General features: G+C 47.0%; 1 protein-coding gene across 2 annotated transcripts in view, besides 6 other annotated features; it reads right to left on the bottom strand.

Annotated features, from left to right (window-relative positions):
* FGF9 (fibroblast growth factor 9) overlaps positions 1–11601 on the bottom strand; it is a 33426-nt gene extending 21825 nt beyond the window's left edge. Inside the window, exons 1-2 of one of the 2 annotated variants that reach the window (NM_002010.3) lie at positions 10485–11601; positions 1529–1632 (exon numbers count right to left, since the gene is read on the bottom strand). In NM_002010.3, the coding sequence (NP_002001.1) occupies positions 1529–1632; positions 10485–10761 (381 nt within the window). In that variant the 5' untranslated portion in view covers positions 10762–11601. Of the gene's footprint in view, positions 1–1528; positions 1633–7680; positions 8117–10484 lie in introns of those variants that run through there. The other variant, XM_011534996.3, reaches the window with a different exon arrangement.
* Positions 7178–7227: a silencer, noted in NCBI's record as "silent region_5170". NCBI's record gives its function as "represses an Ori minimal core promoter by ATAC-STARR-seq in GM12878 lymphoblastoid cells {active_cell/tissue: GM12878}" and the evidence as "EXISTENCE:reporter gene assay evidence [ECO:0000049][PMID:35858748]".
* Positions 8638–8767: a silencer, noted in NCBI's record as "silent region_5169". NCBI's record gives its function as "represses an Ori minimal core promoter by ATAC-STARR-seq in GM12878 lymphoblastoid cells {active_cell/tissue: GM12878}" and the evidence as "EXISTENCE:reporter gene assay evidence [ECO:0000049][PMID:35858748]".
* Positions 8788–9007: a silencer, noted in NCBI's record as "silent region_5168". NCBI's record gives its function as "represses an Ori minimal core promoter by ATAC-STARR-seq in GM12878 lymphoblastoid cells {active_cell/tissue: GM12878}" and the evidence as "EXISTENCE:reporter gene assay evidence [ECO:0000049][PMID:35858748]".
* Positions 11614–11673: a silencer, noted in NCBI's record as "silent region_5167". NCBI's record gives its function as "represses an Ori minimal core promoter by ATAC-STARR-seq in GM12878 lymphoblastoid cells {active_cell/tissue: GM12878}" and the evidence as "EXISTENCE:reporter gene assay evidence [ECO:0000049][PMID:35858748]".
* Positions 11694–11743: a silencer, noted in NCBI's record as "silent region_5166". NCBI's record gives its function as "represses an Ori minimal core promoter by ATAC-STARR-seq in GM12878 lymphoblastoid cells {active_cell/tissue: GM12878}" and the evidence as "EXISTENCE:reporter gene assay evidence [ECO:0000049][PMID:35858748]".
* Positions 12524–12783: a silencer, noted in NCBI's record as "silent region_5165". NCBI's record gives its function as "represses an Ori minimal core promoter by ATAC-STARR-seq in GM12878 lymphoblastoid cells {active_cell/tissue: GM12878}" and the evidence as "EXISTENCE:reporter gene assay evidence [ECO:0000049][PMID:35858748]".

The following is a 17842-nucleotide window of genomic DNA, read 5'->3' as shown; positions in this document are numbered from 1 at the left end:
TCATTTTCTATTTTTTTAATGTAAGTTTCCTTTATCTTGTATCTTATCTTTTTTCACACTTAAAGGTATTCACAAAAATTGTGTAGGGAGTTAATAATTTTGCCTAAACCATCCACTGTGTTTAAAAAGCTAAAGTCAATCCTATACTTACAAATACATTTTAGCATTTTATATATATGTATGTGTGTATCTATATATACATATTTTTACAAGCCTAATGGTAGAAAATTATATCTAGAAAAAGTTTTGCCCTTCATTTCTGTGTATTGAGAACTCCAAATCTTTCCTCATTCTAAGCTTCTTTTCATTTTCAACTTTTTGTAAACTAAAGTTCTCATATTTCAGAAAACATGGATTAAATTCTCATTTGACCACCAGTAATTGCAACGATAAGTTACTTTGGGAGACCAAGGCAAGAGGATCACTTGAGGCCAGGAGTTCAAGACCAGCCTGAGCAACATAGCGTGACCTTGTCTCTACAAAAAAAAAAAATTTTCGTTAACTACGTGTGGTGATGCACACCCATAGTCCCAGCTACACAGGAGGCTGAGGCAGGAGGATCTTCTGAGCCCATGAGTTCCAGGCTGCAGTGAGCAATGATTACACCACTGCACTCTAGCCTGGGCAACAGCAATACCCTATCTCAAAAAAAAAAAAAAGAAAGAAAAGAAAAGAAAGAGAGAAAGAAACGCTACAGATTAATTTCATTACAAGTTTGAAAGTTGAAAACCCAAGTTAGTATATATTATTCATACTTATACATTCAGCAAAAATGTATTAAGTCCCTGCTGCGTACCACACACTGTGTTTTAGGTACTGCATTAATAGGAGTAAAGTGATACCATGATGGAAAGTTAGTCCCCGCCACAGAGTGGAAGAGTAGACTTTGTCTCATTCACACCTCAGCACCTATAACAGTGCCTGTCTGGCACCTGGCAGAGCACAATAAATACTTCTTCACTGTCTCCCATGAGGACCTTACAACCTAGTGGGGATGTGGAGTGGGAAAAAAAGAAATTCATAACATTTGCAAATAATTACAATATCGTAATATTCTTATTCACGTACAAAAATATCTGACAACAATTTCCATCTCCCTTCTTCTCTGCATAATGAAAATCTTGGATGTAGCTCAGAGAGAGTTTAGATTCACTGCATGGTCTATTTCTAGTTTTAATTACAATGCTTGGCAAAGCTTAGGAGGAGATCATTTCAATTCATTTCAAAAATAACTCTCATTCAATACAAAGAGATGGGATTTTTCACACTTGTAAATTTTTTTATTTACTTGATAATTAAGATGGTTTGGCATATAAATAAAGCATTTTCTTAGCAACTTTGGTCTAGTGAAGGTGCAGAGCTGTTTATCTATTAATAAAAATAAAATGGCTTTCCTCAAAAAGTAAAAACTTACACTCGCCTTCCAAACAGACTCAGTTGCATTTCTGGCCCTTTTTAATCCAGAGAAAAGACAGCTGTTCAAATCAAACATGGAGATAAAGCTGGATGAAGTCCCTCCAGTACTTACTGATCCATACAGCTCCCCCTTCTCATTCATCCCGAGGTAGAGTCCACTGTCCACGCCTCGAATGCTGACCAGGCCCACTGCTATACTGATAAATTCCAGAATGCCTGTAGACAAAGGGTAGAAGGCAGAGGACAGATCAGATCACAGAGCATGTCCTTAGAGTCCCAGCATCCCTGGGGTTTTGGAGAGGACACTAAGCCCAGCTCCCCACTTGGATAACCCCACGCTAGTTAAAGAAGTGTCTTCTCTTTGAAAATCACTGTGTAAAAGAATTGATTTTCAACTAAATTCTATCTTATCATAATGACACAAAAATACTTACCAACATGACTTACACAAAAAACAAAACATTTTAAAAATTAAAAAGTTAGTATCTACATAGATATGCTAAGAAGTAATAGGACAGAAAAACCAGTGTGTACATAATCTAATTAACTTCAAAGAGTAGAATTTAAGACAAAGACAACCTACATCCACTTTGTAAACATGAAGTTAAGCATCTGTCTGTGATTCTCTTATTTTGAGAGACATAAGACCATTCGCTAAACAGAATACTTTTTTAGAAAAGACAACCTATTTCCACTTTATAAACATGAAGTTAAGTATCTGTGTGTGAGTATCTTGCTTTTGGACTTCCCAGCCTTTAGAACTGGGAGAAATAAATACCTGTTTAAGTAGCAAAAAAAAAAAAAAGTATTCTGTTTAGAGAATAGTCTCTCAAAATAAGAGAATGAAGTGCTAACTAAAGCCTTGATTGGTTTATACAGAAAATTATCCAGCTCTCTATTGTGTTAACTTTTTTTAACTCTATCTAGAAAACTAAAACTGCCCACATACATCCCAATTATTTTTGCTTAAACAAAGTATTGGTTTTTGCTATACTTATCTAAACCTCAAAGAGATAGTTAAGCAATTAAAATAATAATATTCTGAAGAGATAAATACTGCTCTTGATTTAAAGTAGGCATGGAATGCTGTATTCCAAAATCAAATCGACACAATGATCTTATTTTACTTCCTTCTTTCCCCTTGCTTACCTCACTAAGAATAACACCTAAGCTGGGCATAAATCCAGAATTTTATGGCCACACAACAGCAGTTTCAATTTCTGTAACTACAGTGTGGTTATAAGATGATTAGCCCACAGTATATTTAGGACACTGCTAATTTTTTTTTTTTTTTTTTTTTTGAGATGGAGTCTTACTCTGTTGCCCAGGCTGGAGTGTAGTGGTGCGATCTTGGCTCACTGCAAGCTCCGCCTCCCGGATTCACACCATTCTCCTGCCTCAGCCTCCTGAGTAGCTGGGACTTCAGGCTGGGACAGCCACCACGCTGGGCTAAATTTTTTTTTTTTTTTTTTTTTGTATTTTTAGTAGAGACGGGGTTTCACTGTGTTAGCCAGGATGGTCTCAATCTCCTGACCTCGTGATCGACCCGCCTCGGCTTCCCAAAGTGCTGGGATTACAGGCGTGAGCTACCGCGCCTGTCTGGACACTGCTAATATTATTTGTACTCAGCCATTTTTTCCTTTTTATTGTAAATTAAAGTGCTACATTTTATGTAGACCTTACATTAATGCATATCAAATATTGAGTTCTTGTTTTAAAAATACTTTCAAATATTAAAAATTTTACTTACATTTAAGAGTTCAGAAAAAAACTTAGGGTAACAATGTGCTATAGTCAGTCTCATGTGACTAATAAAAAAGCACTTACATGAATTTTTCAACAATTAATTCTGCAACTCTCACAAAATACACTGGTACTGCAATCAAAAGAAGACATGAACAGCATAAATCTAATAAAGGATTAACTCAAGAGGAAACTATTTCAAGGTGATGTAAAAAAGAAGAGCTATTTCTTCTAAAGGGGCATTCCTAATTCTTTTATAAGGACAAAATGTAACAAATTTATCTTGTGCTTAATGTAATTATTTTAATAGGATGTTAAACAGTATATCAAAAAAAGTGAAATTACAAATTGTGTTTTGAATCTGATAATCTATGACTCTATGATGGAGAATACATGCAAAAGAAGCCAGTTTATTACTAGCCTTCCCTACTTCAAAAGCAAATGGGAATATAAATAAGGCAATATTTCCATGAGATTCATTTTTCATGAGATGCACTCCCTTTTTGATGCATTTTATTTCATTGTACTATTCTTCTGAGTCAAAATAACTAAAATTGTGGCATTTTATTATTATTAGCAGTCACATGTATGTGAATATCTTCTTAGTAACCTGAAAGCACACCAAAATGTGGGTCATACATACCCTGAAATTAATGTAATGAGTTAATTAATGTTCAATTTTCGTCGTAAGATGAAATGCAGGAAACATTTGGCCCCTTTTGAGGTCTGAATGATTTAATTTACCAGGTCAATAAGGAAAGGTTTAATCATAAAACTAAAAAATATTTGCAGCTTCTAAGGGAGCATGTGATGATCTTTCTGCTTTCCCTGCACACGGAGTAGCTGAGGACTAATAATGAATATTAGCCAGTGTTGCCCATCAGGTCCAACAAAGAATAAGGTGCATGTGATTTCACAAAACCTTTTCACTGGCTGGTCTGCAGAACATCAAGAAAAAAAAATAACAGCAGCAGCAATGATAATTGTAATAGTAAAAATTCTTGAGCATTTAGTCTATGCCAAATGAGAGGCCGTCTCTCATTTAATCCCCAGAACAACTCTAGGCATTACAATATTCTAATCCCCAGTGTACAAATGGGGAAATTGAGGTTTAAGGAGGTTAATAATTAGCCCCCAAGCAACTGGACTCCAAAACCTATTTCCTTAACTATTATGCACATCTTACATTTGGTTTTACCTTTTTTAATGTTTCTGTGATTTCTGTACCATTTTCATATAGCTGAGTTCTGAAAGTATTACTATATAATTTAGAAATGAAGATATCAAGATATCTATCTCGTTTCTTTTTCTGGCATTGACAAGACAGCTGTAATTCATATTCGTTCACTTTTTCATTCAAGAAGCTATTATTGAGGGTTTATTATAAGCCAAGCACCATACCATTTATTGAGTATATAAAGATGAACCGGATATAGCCTAGGTCCTATTACCCTCAAATTTTTGCTCACCATCTGTTGGGAAGAAGAACACGTAAACAGATAAATATAACAACAGTGTGGCAAATGCAGTTGAGAGGGAGCTGTTCAGGGTATGGGCAGTCCAAAGATGGGCAGCTCATCTGGGTTTCTGAAGGCAAGTCAGAGGCTTCCCAAGAAAATAAATACCTGAGATAAGTCTCCAAAAAGCTATCCAAGCGAGAAGGAACTACCTACAGACCCCAGGTGGAAAAGATTTCATCACCTCAAACCACCACCCATTTCTCCGCAGTTCCTTAAAAATAGAGACGTCAAAATAACAGCCCAGCTTTTTATGTGGTCACCTCAGTGATGCAAGGACAAGCAGACCAACTGAACGTAGGAGTCACAGTCATTCTCCCCCATGCAAAGAATTCCACTGTTGTAAGGTCAGGAAGATCTAGCAACCCCGCAACAGGATCCCACCCCAACCAGACCAGAAACCTCATCATTCCTGGTACCCTCTTGTCCACAATAAATTCTATAACCTCAACCAGGTCCATTCAGCTCTCTCTGGGGTGGAGCTGGTGCCAGGCAAGTGCTTCCAACTACACTCCCTGAGTACAACCCACTCCACATGTTATCTGCTCACATGACTGGGCAGCAGAGGGGGCTGGATCAATAACAGCCAGGAGAAGCCTTCTGTGCAGAGACATCTGAATGTTTAATGATCAAGGAGAGAGAAAGGGAAAGAAGGAAAGAGCAAAGAAAAGAAGGAAGGAAGAGGGGAGGAGGAAGGGAGGGAATGATGAGTTTGTGCCTAAAATTAGAACTGTGGCACACACATGTGTACCATGGCAGCCTGTCGCTCATTTTGGGCAGACACAGCCTTGACATCCTTAGCTCAGACGGCCCACAGTAATGGGTAGTGATAGGGTGACATGGGAAGCACAGGGTCGATGACTGCTGTCATTTCTTTGTTCTCTTCCACAGCAGTCAACAGTTCCAAATGAGGATATGCTCATTGGGACCCCATTGGATTTGATGAGGTGTGAGATCATCCATGGTCCATGAGAGACCAGGTCAATGCCTGGACTATTTCAGGAAAATCACCACACCGGACCTTCCTCATTGCCCCAGACTCACTATTAGTGACTATCCCCAGAGCTGATGGGCTGCCCCAGTTCTGTTCACATGGACCATTATCCCAAAGCTGGCACCGCCCCCTAGAGCCCATCTGTGCTGGGCCTCACCTCCAAGGCCAGGCAAGGCAGTGGGAGAGGAAGGCAGTCAGAGCTGCTCCACTCTGGCCCTCATGACATGGTTCTCTGGCTTAAGAGCCCCCAACGCATTACAGAACCGCACTCTTCAGACCACACAAATGTAGGCAGACTGTCGAGAGGGGCAGGGCATGAGGCTGCAGAAAATTAATGATTAAGCCTCTTCCCTGCAGAGCTTCCTGCTCACCCAGAGAAGCTCGAACCAGGGCTGCCAGATCAACCATCTCAGATCCTGCACCGGGGTAAGTTCGGATCTGTAGCAACCTGAGCACATCTCATAGAGTTTATATAGGAAATGACTAACTGAATGGGAGTTATAACTCCACTAATTTTTCCAGAACCTGAAGCAATCCTAAAACCATCTCCTTAAACACCCAGTGTTTTCCTGAGACATTGAAGAGTCAGATACATAGAACAGAATTAAAGTTCAAAACCCTGGAAATAAGTTTTAAACACCTGTTTAAAAAAATCATACTATCATATTTCTCCCCTCTAGTAAAACCTTCACCTGACCCAATTTGAATGGAAGCCCCAGTTTGGGTGCTCATCTGAGGTCCTGATGAAGACCGGCCTTTCAGAGCTACCTAACCCCAGCCAAAAAGGGAACAGACTTAGGTTTCCTAAACAAGTTAAATAGCAGATCAGGCCCAGCGTTCATGTTTTTATTATTTTACATTACTATTTCCCCAAATGATTTTCTGCTCACATTTCTATCCATCTAGCAAGGCTGGAGTGCTTTAAAAGTGAGCTCTATATATAGGCATATAGATATACAGATGAAACAAGACATCTCGCTCCCCCAGCCTACTGCACAGAGATACAATTGCGAGTTCCTTTTCTCCTTGTTCAATCTTATCTCCACACCACCAATCCGAGGGGGAAAAAAAAAAAAAAAGGCTCCTTCAAGGTCCCACCTAAGTTGTCACCTCTGCAGCTCCTGCTGGAACAGTAAGACTCCCCCACCCCCACGTCCTCTGCACTGCTGCTGCTGTGTCACTGCCAAGCTTGCCAGCAGCTGCAGTCACCTGCGGCTGCATGGGGGCGGCAAAAATCCTTTTTCCAGCGCGTTTCCTTCTGCTGTTTGATTTCAGGTAGAAAATGCACCTTCTATTTTAATCAAGGTGTAAACCCACCGCACCCCCCACCTACAGTTACTCTTTTCTAGAGAAACTGAGTGTGAGGACGAACTCCCCAGAGGGGAGCCGGGCTGCGGAGGAGAGGCTGCTGCCGGAGGAGGAGGAGGGCCGAAGGTGAGGCCGCGGCGGCGCGCGGGAGCGCCAGGTGTGCCAGAGCCGGGGCACCGCAGCCCCCTCGCCCCCTCCCGGCGCCTGTGCCCTCCCTCCGCCCTCCCCGCGCGAGCCGCGGTGTCCTAGCGCCGCCGCGGCCTCGTTCCGGGCGGGGCTGGGAAGGCGAGGGTAGGAGGCTCCCGGCACACGCACCACCGCTCTGCGGAGGTTGCTAATATTGGGACCTGCCGCAGCGGCAGCAGCGGGAGACCGCGGCACTGCTGTCACCCCGGGGGCCCGCTTCTCACTGCAACCGGATGAAAGACTTAAATAACCCTCCTGCCTCACCCTGCTTCCCCACCCCCACTGCGCACAGCCACCCACTCAACTCCATCCCAGCCAGAGTGAGTGGCACAGCGGAGCGCCAGAGCGCCCTTCCCCCTCGGCCGACGCCAGGCCGACGGGCTAGCTAGCGGCTCGGCGCCCCCAGTCCCCAACCTGGGCCGGGGCTTCCGCTCCCCTCCCATCCAACACTACCCCTAGCCCCTCCCCCCAGCCCCCACATCCCCCCCAGCCCCCACATCCCCCGCAACACTGTACCGAGAGCGTCTAAGGAGTGGAGATGCCACTTCCCTGACAACACCTTTCTCTGACCTCTAGGGGTGAGGGGTCTAGCTTTTTGTTTAACGGTTTCTATTGAGCCACTGTAGCCCGCCGCTGTCCTCATCCGCTCACCCTAGAATGCGCCTCTCCTGCCCTCCCCTCCCGCGTGGCCCCCGCCCTTGCATCCGCGCTCTCTCCAGTGGCAGAGTTACGGGATTTCTAATGACTCGACTGCATGTGGCAAACGTCCTATCCTAAAGGTGACTGCATCAAAAAAAAAAAATGCTCATGGAGGGAAGGGGTGCGTGAAGAAGCGCCAACTAGAATATCCCATAATCTCTGCACACCAGGGCCCAGTCGTGCTGCACCGGAGTTCTAATAGGGTCTCTCAAAGACAGGCTCGGCTGATCCACACAATAAAACCGGCTCGGGCCCGCCGCGGCGCCCCTGCAGCCGTGCGCCCCCGCCGCGCTCCCGCGCACACCCCGGGCTCCCCCGGTTGTGAAGCCGGAGCGGAGGCGGGGGCGCGGGAAAGCCAGATCGCGATCGGCGAGCTCGCGAGCTCTGCTCTCGGAAAGCGGTTAACAATAGCACGCCGCCCCCTCCGCCCGCCTCCGCGGCCCTTTGTCCCCCCCACCCCCACTCCTTTCCCTGCGGCTCCGGCCAGGGGCCCCCGACCCACCTCCCGGGCACCACGGAGCCCTTCGAGTCTCCAAAACCCGGCTGCGTGCTTCAGAAGAAGGACACGGAATGGGACAGGGGAGCTCAGGGGTCCGACCTCCAGCCCGTCCTCTGTCCCCGCCACCAACTCTCCTGCCGCTGCGCGCGCCTCCAGCCGTTCCCACACCGCAAACCACCGTGCAGCCCAGGGCGGCGGCTGTCAGCCCCGCCAGACCCACTCTCACACACAAAGAGAAAGCGAAGGGGCTCAACTTGGGCCAAAATGAAAAACCGGATTCCCTAAACGCGGCCAGAAGTGTGTCAGCCCCTGCCTGCCGCCCCCCGGCCCCCGTGGTCCCCGCAGCACTGAAGGGCGCACCCGAGCCAGGCGGAAAGGGAGCCGGAACGCGAGCGCGTTTAGGACCGCGCGGAGCCGGCCGGGCAGCCGCTAAGTGCGCCGCGGGGCCCGGGCGGCCGAGCGGGCACCTGCCGACCGCGAGCGCGGGAGGGCTGGAGCTCCGGCCGCCTGGCACACCTAGGCCGGCCGCCCACGCCGCTCGCTTCGGTCGGCGCGGCCCCGACACCCTGCGGGTGGCCGCCGCGGCCCCGGACACGCTCGCTCGCCCACCCAGGGCCGCCCACTGCCTGTTGTTCTGGTATCGAACGCTAGGCAGGGTGGCAGCCCTTAAAGAGGCCAGATGGAAACGGCACTTTTAGTAAAGTTTAGTCTTCTCTTTGCAACAACCAGAATCTACCTTTACTTCTGGGGTGGGGAGGGGATAGTTATATTTCAACTGAATAATTGCAAAGCAAAGAGCTATAACTTTTTTTTAAGCAGCGAGTGGAGACGGCCGGAGCAATTTCACACTACTAGGCTCAGCTGTGGGCTTAGGCTCAGGGGTGAGCATGAGGAGCAAATCCTGGGCCTCGTGGATCTGGGACCATCCCCAGCCCAGGCCTAAGTCCTCCTCACCTTCTGGCATCATCCGCAGCCGCACGAAGCTAAACATACAGTTTAGATTGTGTTCAACATCTGGCACTAAAGCATGAGGAAGAAAAATCACCAGAGGACTTTGTTTTTTACGACCTAGTTTAAGTGTTGTCAGGTGGGTTCACTCAGAAGTTAACTCCTTCCAACAGTCTAGTTGCCCAAACTGGCGCTTATTTTTTTTTTTTTAAGTAAGGAAAAAACTCAAGAGTCCACCCAATTGGGACTGTGTTAGTTGACTTCGTGCCGTTGGGCTCAGGGTGCCCCGGCAAGCACGTGTGTGCAAGCATAAAGTGGGCAGAGCCACCAGCCCTCGAGTCTGCAGCCCTCAGTGCTGAGTCACAAATACCCTCCGCTGAAAAATGAAATCCTCGGAATGCCCTTTAAAATTCGCTCGCAGCGTTTGCACGCGCGCACACACTCACACCAGAGAGCCACGCAGGAGACCTACACAGGGCTGCACACTATGGAAATTTAAAAGCAGAGGTTATCACTTGATAGCTGGAAGGACAAAAACCCCTGAGCGCCCTGCCTCTTCCCAAGTCATTTTCCCCCAAGCCTCTGCCCCTGCTTTTCACGGAGCCTAAAATATGACTTTAGTCCTCCCAACAGGACAATCCGTCAGCAACCTTCGCCTATGGGGCTTTCAGACCCTCACAGGGGAGAATAAACAATGCACTTAATATACAATTCAAGTAGTATACTTACTAGAGGAAAGGGGGAAAGGAAAAAAACCTTAATTTGGGCACAAGATACCCACTGCCTTCAAGAAACTGCATTAAGTTCTTAGTAGTTAATGATTAAAGCTTTAAACTCGTGCAATCAGTCCATTCAAAAGAAACTTCCTAAACCCGTGTATCTGATGCAAAAGAACTGGAAACTTGTATTATATTTATAAATTATGCCCCCCTTTAAATTAAAAGTAGGGGGCCTTTCAGTGTATACTTGCATCAGTGCCAGCAGCAGATCTGCAATTCCGGAGGCATTTTTTTTTCGGAGCTGGCAAGACAGAGAGAGAGAGAGACAGAGATACAGAGAAAGAGGGGAGGAGGGGAGAACCCTTCCCACGTCCCCCACCCGGCCACCACCTTCTTGGTAGTTATAATTTCAACATGTCATCTCATGGACACTAAAGGGTTAATGGTATACCTACCAAATCGGCTGTGGTCTTTCCTGGTTCCCTGGATAGTACCATTGGGGAAGATTTCTAAGTGAAATCCAGTCCTGCAGTATAGCTGCCTCCGCCTGAGAATCCCCTTTAAATGATCCAAGTCCGTGACTGCGGGTCCCCTGGGGAGCCCCCCTGCTTCGGACTGACCCAGGTGGTCACTTAACAAAACCGGGCTGTCCACCGGCAACACGGGCACATTCCCAAACGGTACCGCATCCTGCACACCGAAATAGTTCCCAACTTCACCTAAGGGAGCCATCAGAGGACTCGGCTTTTGGAGCACAAGAATAAACAATAATGATGGTGTCAACCCAGGAGATATTAGGCGAGGTATATCCAACTCCCCTCCCTTACTGCAGTTGCAGAGAGAGAGAGAAAAAAAAGGTTCTTTTCTTCAATCCATTAAATGCATAAATAAAAGTAATCTGCTGTTTCACTGGCACAGGTTCAAGGTCAAACCACTGATAGTCTAAGAAACCACCACTTTATACTCACACACTGACATATTGATAAACATATCTATGTATCTCTATAGATAGATCCCCAGCTCTTAGCAGGCAGGAAGGTCTTCATCCCATCCGACCGTAATAAGGAAAAAAAATCCGTAGTTTCTCCATTTGGTTTGAGATCAGAATGACCATAGCAACTTAAATGCCTAGGCGTTATTATAGGGATTTTTAAGATGCACGGGCTACGTCAGAATTTACGGATCCTGACTCCAGGAAGGCATGCGCTGTTTTTACTCTCTAACCGACTCTGCAGACATCAGCATGAATCCTTCAAGGGGAAAAAAAAATCTCACGTTGGTGGCGGCGACAAATCTCCCCTCCCGGTCCCCCCTCCAAAAAATGATAATAATAATAAAACAAAAAGAAGAAGAAACTTTAGGCGTCCAAAGCTAGTATCCAGGATTCTCCAGAGGCTCGGCAGATGTCCATTGGCTTAGAACGGGTGGCGAGCGGCGAGCGAGGAGAGCCGCGTCCGGGAGCTCGCGTGCCGCCCAGGCTGCCGCGAACAGGTGTTGCCGCGCCGGCTCGCGGAGCGTTGTAGCCGGGCGGAGCGCTCCTCCTGCGCAGCCCCCGCCGGCGCGCAGAGTGGCGCAGGCAGCGGCATTGGGCTGGGTTTAAGGTAGCGCCGCCGCAGCCCGGGCTCCCCGCGGTCCTAGCGCCCGGCTTACTGCCCGCGCCGCTCTGCGGCAGGCGAGGTGCGGCGCGCCAGAGCGCAGGACTTCCTGGGAGGCAGTCGAGGAGCCCTGGCTTTACAAAGAAAAGCAAATGAAAGATGCACTGCGAGAGGCGGGAGGAAGAAACCCTGAGTCTCCCGAGACTCAAAGTTCTCCTGCAGAATAGAAGCCGGTAACCTACAATCTAGCTGGCTGGCTACATTGATGGAGGGTCAGAGTGAAACTGGGAAACTAGTTTTCACTGGGGCTCTGTAACCTTGCGTTGTATTATAGAATATGACTGAGTTGAGAGAGTCGGAGGGAAGGGGAGTTGATTTAATGGACTCGGATGGCCATGGCAGTTTCTCTTCCATTCTTCGGCCACACACACAGAAGCGCAAACTATGTTTCAGGTAAGATCAACTCCTCTCCCCCGTCACACACACACACACACACACACACGCAGATGCGGCCACCGTTTCTGTTTTGTTTGGAGCGTTCTGCTGGGCATCTTTGGGTTGGGGCTATGTTTAGGTCCCGCCCCGCTGCTCGGGTCCCGGCGGCCGCAAAGCAGTCGGCAGGGGGGCGCCAGAGAACCTTCTCTGTCCCCGACTTCGACTCGGGCGCGCGTCTTCGGGAGTCTGGGTGGAGGGGAGCGCTCCAGTAGGCGTCTTCTCGCCCTCAAACCACGCTGCTTAGGACGAGCGGCGCCATCCCAAGCCGTGCATCGGCTCGGGGAAGCGAAAGGCGAGTTCTGGTGTCTCACTCCACCGTCCGAAGCCCGCCGCGGAGCTGGGAGGGCCGGGCACTGGATGCTTGCGGGGCGCCCCGGGGCTGCAGCCGCTCCTTCCTGCTCTGCCCTGCGGGGCCGCACGTGGAAGCCTGAGCTCCGTTGCGCGGGCTCGGGTTTCTGTTAGCCGCCGGCGGCCTTCGCGCCCAGCGGGAGTCAGGGACAAAGAAACCCGCCTCCGGGGGCCGCCAGGGGCCCTGCCGGGCCGGGCCCGCCAGAGAGACTGGAGGCGGCGCGCTCTGCGCCCGGGACAGCCTGCCTGCGCCCGGATCCCCAGTGGCGGCGGGCGCGGAGCGCGGCGCCCCCCAACACACACACACACACACACACACACACACACACACACACACTCGCCCACAGCCCTCCCGCGGGGCCCCCCTTCCCTCCCCCTGCTCCTCTTTGTTCACATTGTCTTAGAAACGGCCCGACTCTCGGGTCAAGATGGTGAAAGTTGCCGAGACTTGAGCGCAGCTCCACACTGCGGGGCGTGCAACTGAGAAGCAAAGTCGAAAGCAGAGACTGAACCCCTGCGGTGGGGAAGCGAATCAAAACCTGGTTATGGGGGAGAAGTCGGATCCGCCTTAGTAGTCAGCTAAAGGCTGGAGATGCATAACTGGGGCTGGCCCTACTCCGGACGGGAGGGCTTCGCCTGAAGACGAAAGGGAGCGATGAATTTGCAGATTTCGGGGGCGCTGGAGGTGCCAGCGACCTGGAGCGACCTTCCCCTGCCCTCCGGGGAGGAAGGCGTGCTCCGGCCCGGGCGAGGAGGAAGGAGAGAAGAGCGAGTGGTCCTCCCCTCTTCCTTTCCCACCCCCCCTTTGCCGCAGTCCAGGGTCATTGGGTGTCCGGGGCTGGCTCGGTGCGTCTTGCTTACGTGTTTCTGAAGCATGAGAGCCCTGCCCCGTGGTATTTACAGCAGTCACATCCGCGGTGGTACAGAGCGGGCTTTAACGTTAACTGCTCGGCGGCAGATACAAGAAGCTGGGTATTAAGTGTCACTTCTCATAAACCACCCGAGTCGCTCGCATTAATCTCCGAGGCAGCCAGCAGTGATGGGTACAGCAGGGGCGTTCCTCGACCAGTTGGGTACAGTGCGCCGGGATGGTTACTTAGTGGGGAAAAAAGCGATGGAAGAAACAGAGACAGGCCCAGAGAGACAGGGAGACGCTTCATAAGAAGAGAAACGAGCAGCACGTGGACATTGGACATTTCCAGTGAAGACAAGACTGGGACCATTTCCACCAGCTGTCTCCAACCACATTCTTTCGATCTGAATTTAGATTGTCATCCAATGAGCAAAGACCATTTCCGCTTCCGAATCCTGCAGCGTGTGACTGTCGCTTTAAAAAGCGTTGCAGCAGTGGAAGAGAGGGCGAAGTAGCTGATGGAGCACTTTCCCAGGTTGAGCAGCCTCCCCCACTTGCAGTTGGCTTGATCCACCTTTCATCCGCATCCCTAACTCCAGCTGCAAGAAGCTTTTGCTGCTTCCTCGCCACTTCACCATCAGATTTCTCTTGCTTGGTTTTGTTGGTTGATTTGGTCGGGTTGTTTTTCTTATTGTAGTAAGAGAAACAGTGTCCTTCCTTGCATTGGCCACATCACATTTTTCCTGTACTCACCCCACTCGTTAGGGCTGACATCCTCAAGGTTCCTTCACAGCTCTGGCAAAACCATGAACTCCTATGTCCAGGACTATGAGTATGTTTTACAAGTCTTCTTCAGTGAGTACATAGATGTTAGTACACAAAGAAGACTGAGGCCTTGCCTTCTAGAGACACGTGGTGTAATTGGGTTAATAACTCCTGCCTCGAAAGACTGTTGTTAGGAGTAAAAGGAAAAAAAAATGCACACGAAACAAGCAGCACACAATAGACCCTCAAGACATAGTCGCTATCATTACACTATTCCTTATATAGTTCCCCCATGGATTTCTCCCATGGGGGTATTCAGCAAATACTGTTATTGATTTTAATCCCAAAGCTCCCTGAGGCTCTGTCTTCTCAAAACGTTTTAACTCCTCGTACTTTCCTTTCTTCCCCTTTCCTGTGTTTTCTATCATCTTTGTCATCTGTCTTTTCTGTGGTCAGTTTAGTACTTAGGCCCAAATGGGAATAAATGACAAGAGAAGTAAAAGAGGGCTATGAAGAGGAATGAGCACTGGAATGGGAGTCTGCAGATCTGAAACACATCATCTGACCCTCTGCCTACTCCATGTGTGGCTACGGGCCCTCTCCTCACGGGTCCCAGCTCTTTGCTGTGAAGACTGGTTCATGTAGGTTAAAGTGGCCTGTCAGCTATAAAGTCCTCTGCAAATTTGAAGTGGCCCTTTGGAAAAAGTCCACCTTCCCCTCTTTCTTCATTAGCTTGTCTTCCTTCAGTTTCCCTGGACCCCCAGATGCAAATCAGTACAGAGTCATTTCATTCCTTCTCTGCAGTAAAGGTGTCACTGGGCCTCTGCCCTTCCATCTGTTTCCTTCGTTCTCCTCCTCCCCACCCCACAACCCTTCAATCTACTTATGGGCTTTTGTTTAGGAGCTGTAAGGAGCATGGGATGGAGGGGAATGGTTTGGGAAGGTTGAAGTCTATTCCCAGTGTGACCCCAGGAACTAGGTTTGAGTTTCATGGTAAGAGGATAGAACCTTTGTAGCCACCATTTATTGACTGCTTACTGTGTTTCCAACACCCTGCTAAGTGCTTTTGTGCTTTATCTTCTTAATATTGAAAACTGTCCTATGAGGTATTATTTTATCCCATATTATAGATGAGGAAACTGTGGCTTATAGAAATTAAGTAGCCTGCCTATTGCCACAGTGCTAATAAATGGTGGAGCCAAGTTCATAGACATCAGACCCTCATTGTGTAACACTGCCCTCGATTATAACAGGCATATACTTTTAAATTGTTTAATAGGATGTCTTCTCAAAATACACAGAAATAAATGATGGGCATATATACTTGTATATATCAACAACCAGTTACACTGAGTGTATATGAACAACAACCAATTAGAAGACAAAATGAAGGAAGGAAAAGACCCCAGTTACAATAGGTTTTTTAAAAAGGAAAGGAAAGTGAAGGAAGGAAGGAAAGGAGACATAAGATCCCCAGGAGCAGAATTAACAACAAAAAAATGTACAAGATCTACATGAAGAAAAAAAAAATTTTTTTTTTTTTTTTGAGACAATGTCTCACTATGTTGCTTAGGCTGGTCTCGAACTCCTGGGCTCAAGAGATCCTCCCACCTTGGCCTCCCAAAGTGCTTGGATTACAGGCATGAGCCACTGCTCCCAACCAAGAAATACATATATATATGTGGTTTTTTTGGGTTTTTTTGTTTGTTTGTTTGTTTGTTTGAGACAGAGTCTCACTTTGTCACCCAGGCTGGAGTGCAGTAGCCTGATTTTGGCTCACTGCAACCTCCGCCTCCCGGGTTCAAGTGATTCTCCTGTCTCAGCCTCTCGAGTAGCTAGGATTACAGGCATGTGCCACCAAGCCTGGCTAATTTTTGTATTTTTAGTAGAGATGGGGTTTGCCGTGTTGGCCAGGCTGGTCTTGAACTCCTAACCTCAGGTGATCCGCCCGCCTCGGCCTCCTAAAGTTCTGGGATTACAGTCATGAGCCACCATGCCCGGCCTGACCAAGAAATATTTTAAGATATTTCTTGGAATACAAAAGATGCCCTGAACAAATTGAAAGGCATATCATGTCCTTAGATAGAAAAATTCAATTTCATAAATATATAATCCTTCCTAAATTAATCTAACCACAATAACAATAAAAATGCCAAGATGTTTAAAATTAGATACACTGATGCTACAGGTAATATGGAAAAATAAATTAAAATTGACAAGAAATTTTTTTAACAAGAAAAATTAAGGGGTAACTAGCCATACAATATTTTAAAATATTTTTTAAAGCTATAATAATTAGAACAGTGTCATATGAATTATTTGTATTAGCCTATGAATAAACAGATAAAGCAATAACAGAATAGAAATTACATAGATCCAAATACATATTAGAATTTTATATATGATAATCAACTAATGGGAAAAAGTGAACTATGAGTAAACGGTTTTGAAACAACAGAATAAACAACTAAAAAACACAAATAGTGTTTATTCTTCATACTTACATGAGGATAAAACCCAAATGCAAATATTTTAAATGTAAAAAATAAAACTATAACAAGTCCTAAAGGAAACAATGGAAGAATTTCCTTATGATCTGAATTGTGAAGGCCTTTTTAAATGTGTCATAGAATCCAAATGCCTAAAAGAGAATATTGATAAATGCAACCACACACACACACACACAAATTTTTAACTGCGTGGGAGAAAAACATGAATTCAAAAGATAAATGATGAAATGGAAAAAATGCATCTCATATAAAGGACTCATTTTTCTAATATATAAAAAGCTGGCTGGCGGCCAGGTGTGGTGCCTCATGCCTGTAATCCCAGCACTTTGGGAGGCCGAGGCGGGCGGATCAGGAGATCGAAACCATCCTGGCTAACACGGTGAAACCCCGTCTCTACTAAAAATACAAAAAATTAGCCAGGCATGGTGGCGGGCGCCTGTAGTCCCAGCCACTCAAGAGGCTGAGGCAGAAGAATGGCATGAACCTGGGAGGTGGAGCTTGCAGTGAGCTGAGATTGCGCCACTGGACTCCAGCACAGCAAGACTCTGTCTCGAAAAAAAAAAAAAGCTGGCTGGCACGATGGCTCATGCCTGTAATCCCAACACTTTGGGAGGCAGAGGCATGAGGATTACTTGAGGCCAGGAGTTTGAGACCAGCCTGGGCAACATAGCAAGACCATGTCTCTACAAAAAAATTAAAAAATTAGCTGGGTGTGGTGGCACACACCTGTAGTCCCAGCTACTTGGGAGGCTGAAGTGGGAGGATTTCTTCAGTCCAGGAGGTCAAGGCTGCAATGAGCTGTGATCATGCCACTGCACTCCAGTTTGAGTGATGGTGATATATGTGTGTGTGTATCTGTGTCTGTGTGTATGTGAGCATATATATATTTTTATATGTGCACTCATCTGACCCCGTTTATGTAAAGCTCCTACAAATCAATAAGAAAAGTTGGTGTCTGATCCAACATGTTAAGTGCTTGGAAGTCATCATTCCCATGCACACAAGGAAAAAGATGAATGAACTGAAAATCAAGAACTCTTCTTAGATCCATCAAGAATTAAGGTCATAGGAGAAACTGCTGCCTTGAAAATTGGAGAGGCAGACAGGCAGATACAGAGAATCACAGCTTACCAGAGCAGAAGCAGAAGAGTAGGAGCCCACAGCTGGAGCTGGTATCGGTAGGAACACTTTAAACTGTAATTGCTGGAGGCTCATTGTGACAAGCTTGAGAGTTAAGAATTCATCGA

Source organism: Homo sapiens, chromosome 13, assembly GCF_000001405.40.
Source record: "Homo sapiens chromosome 13, GRCh38.p14 Primary Assembly".
Lineage (NCBI taxonomy): Eukaryota > Metazoa > Chordata > Mammalia > Primates > Hominidae > Homo > Homo sapiens.
Note: the sequence above shows the minus strand (reverse complement) of the source record. Positions and strands in the feature narration are given on the sequence as shown.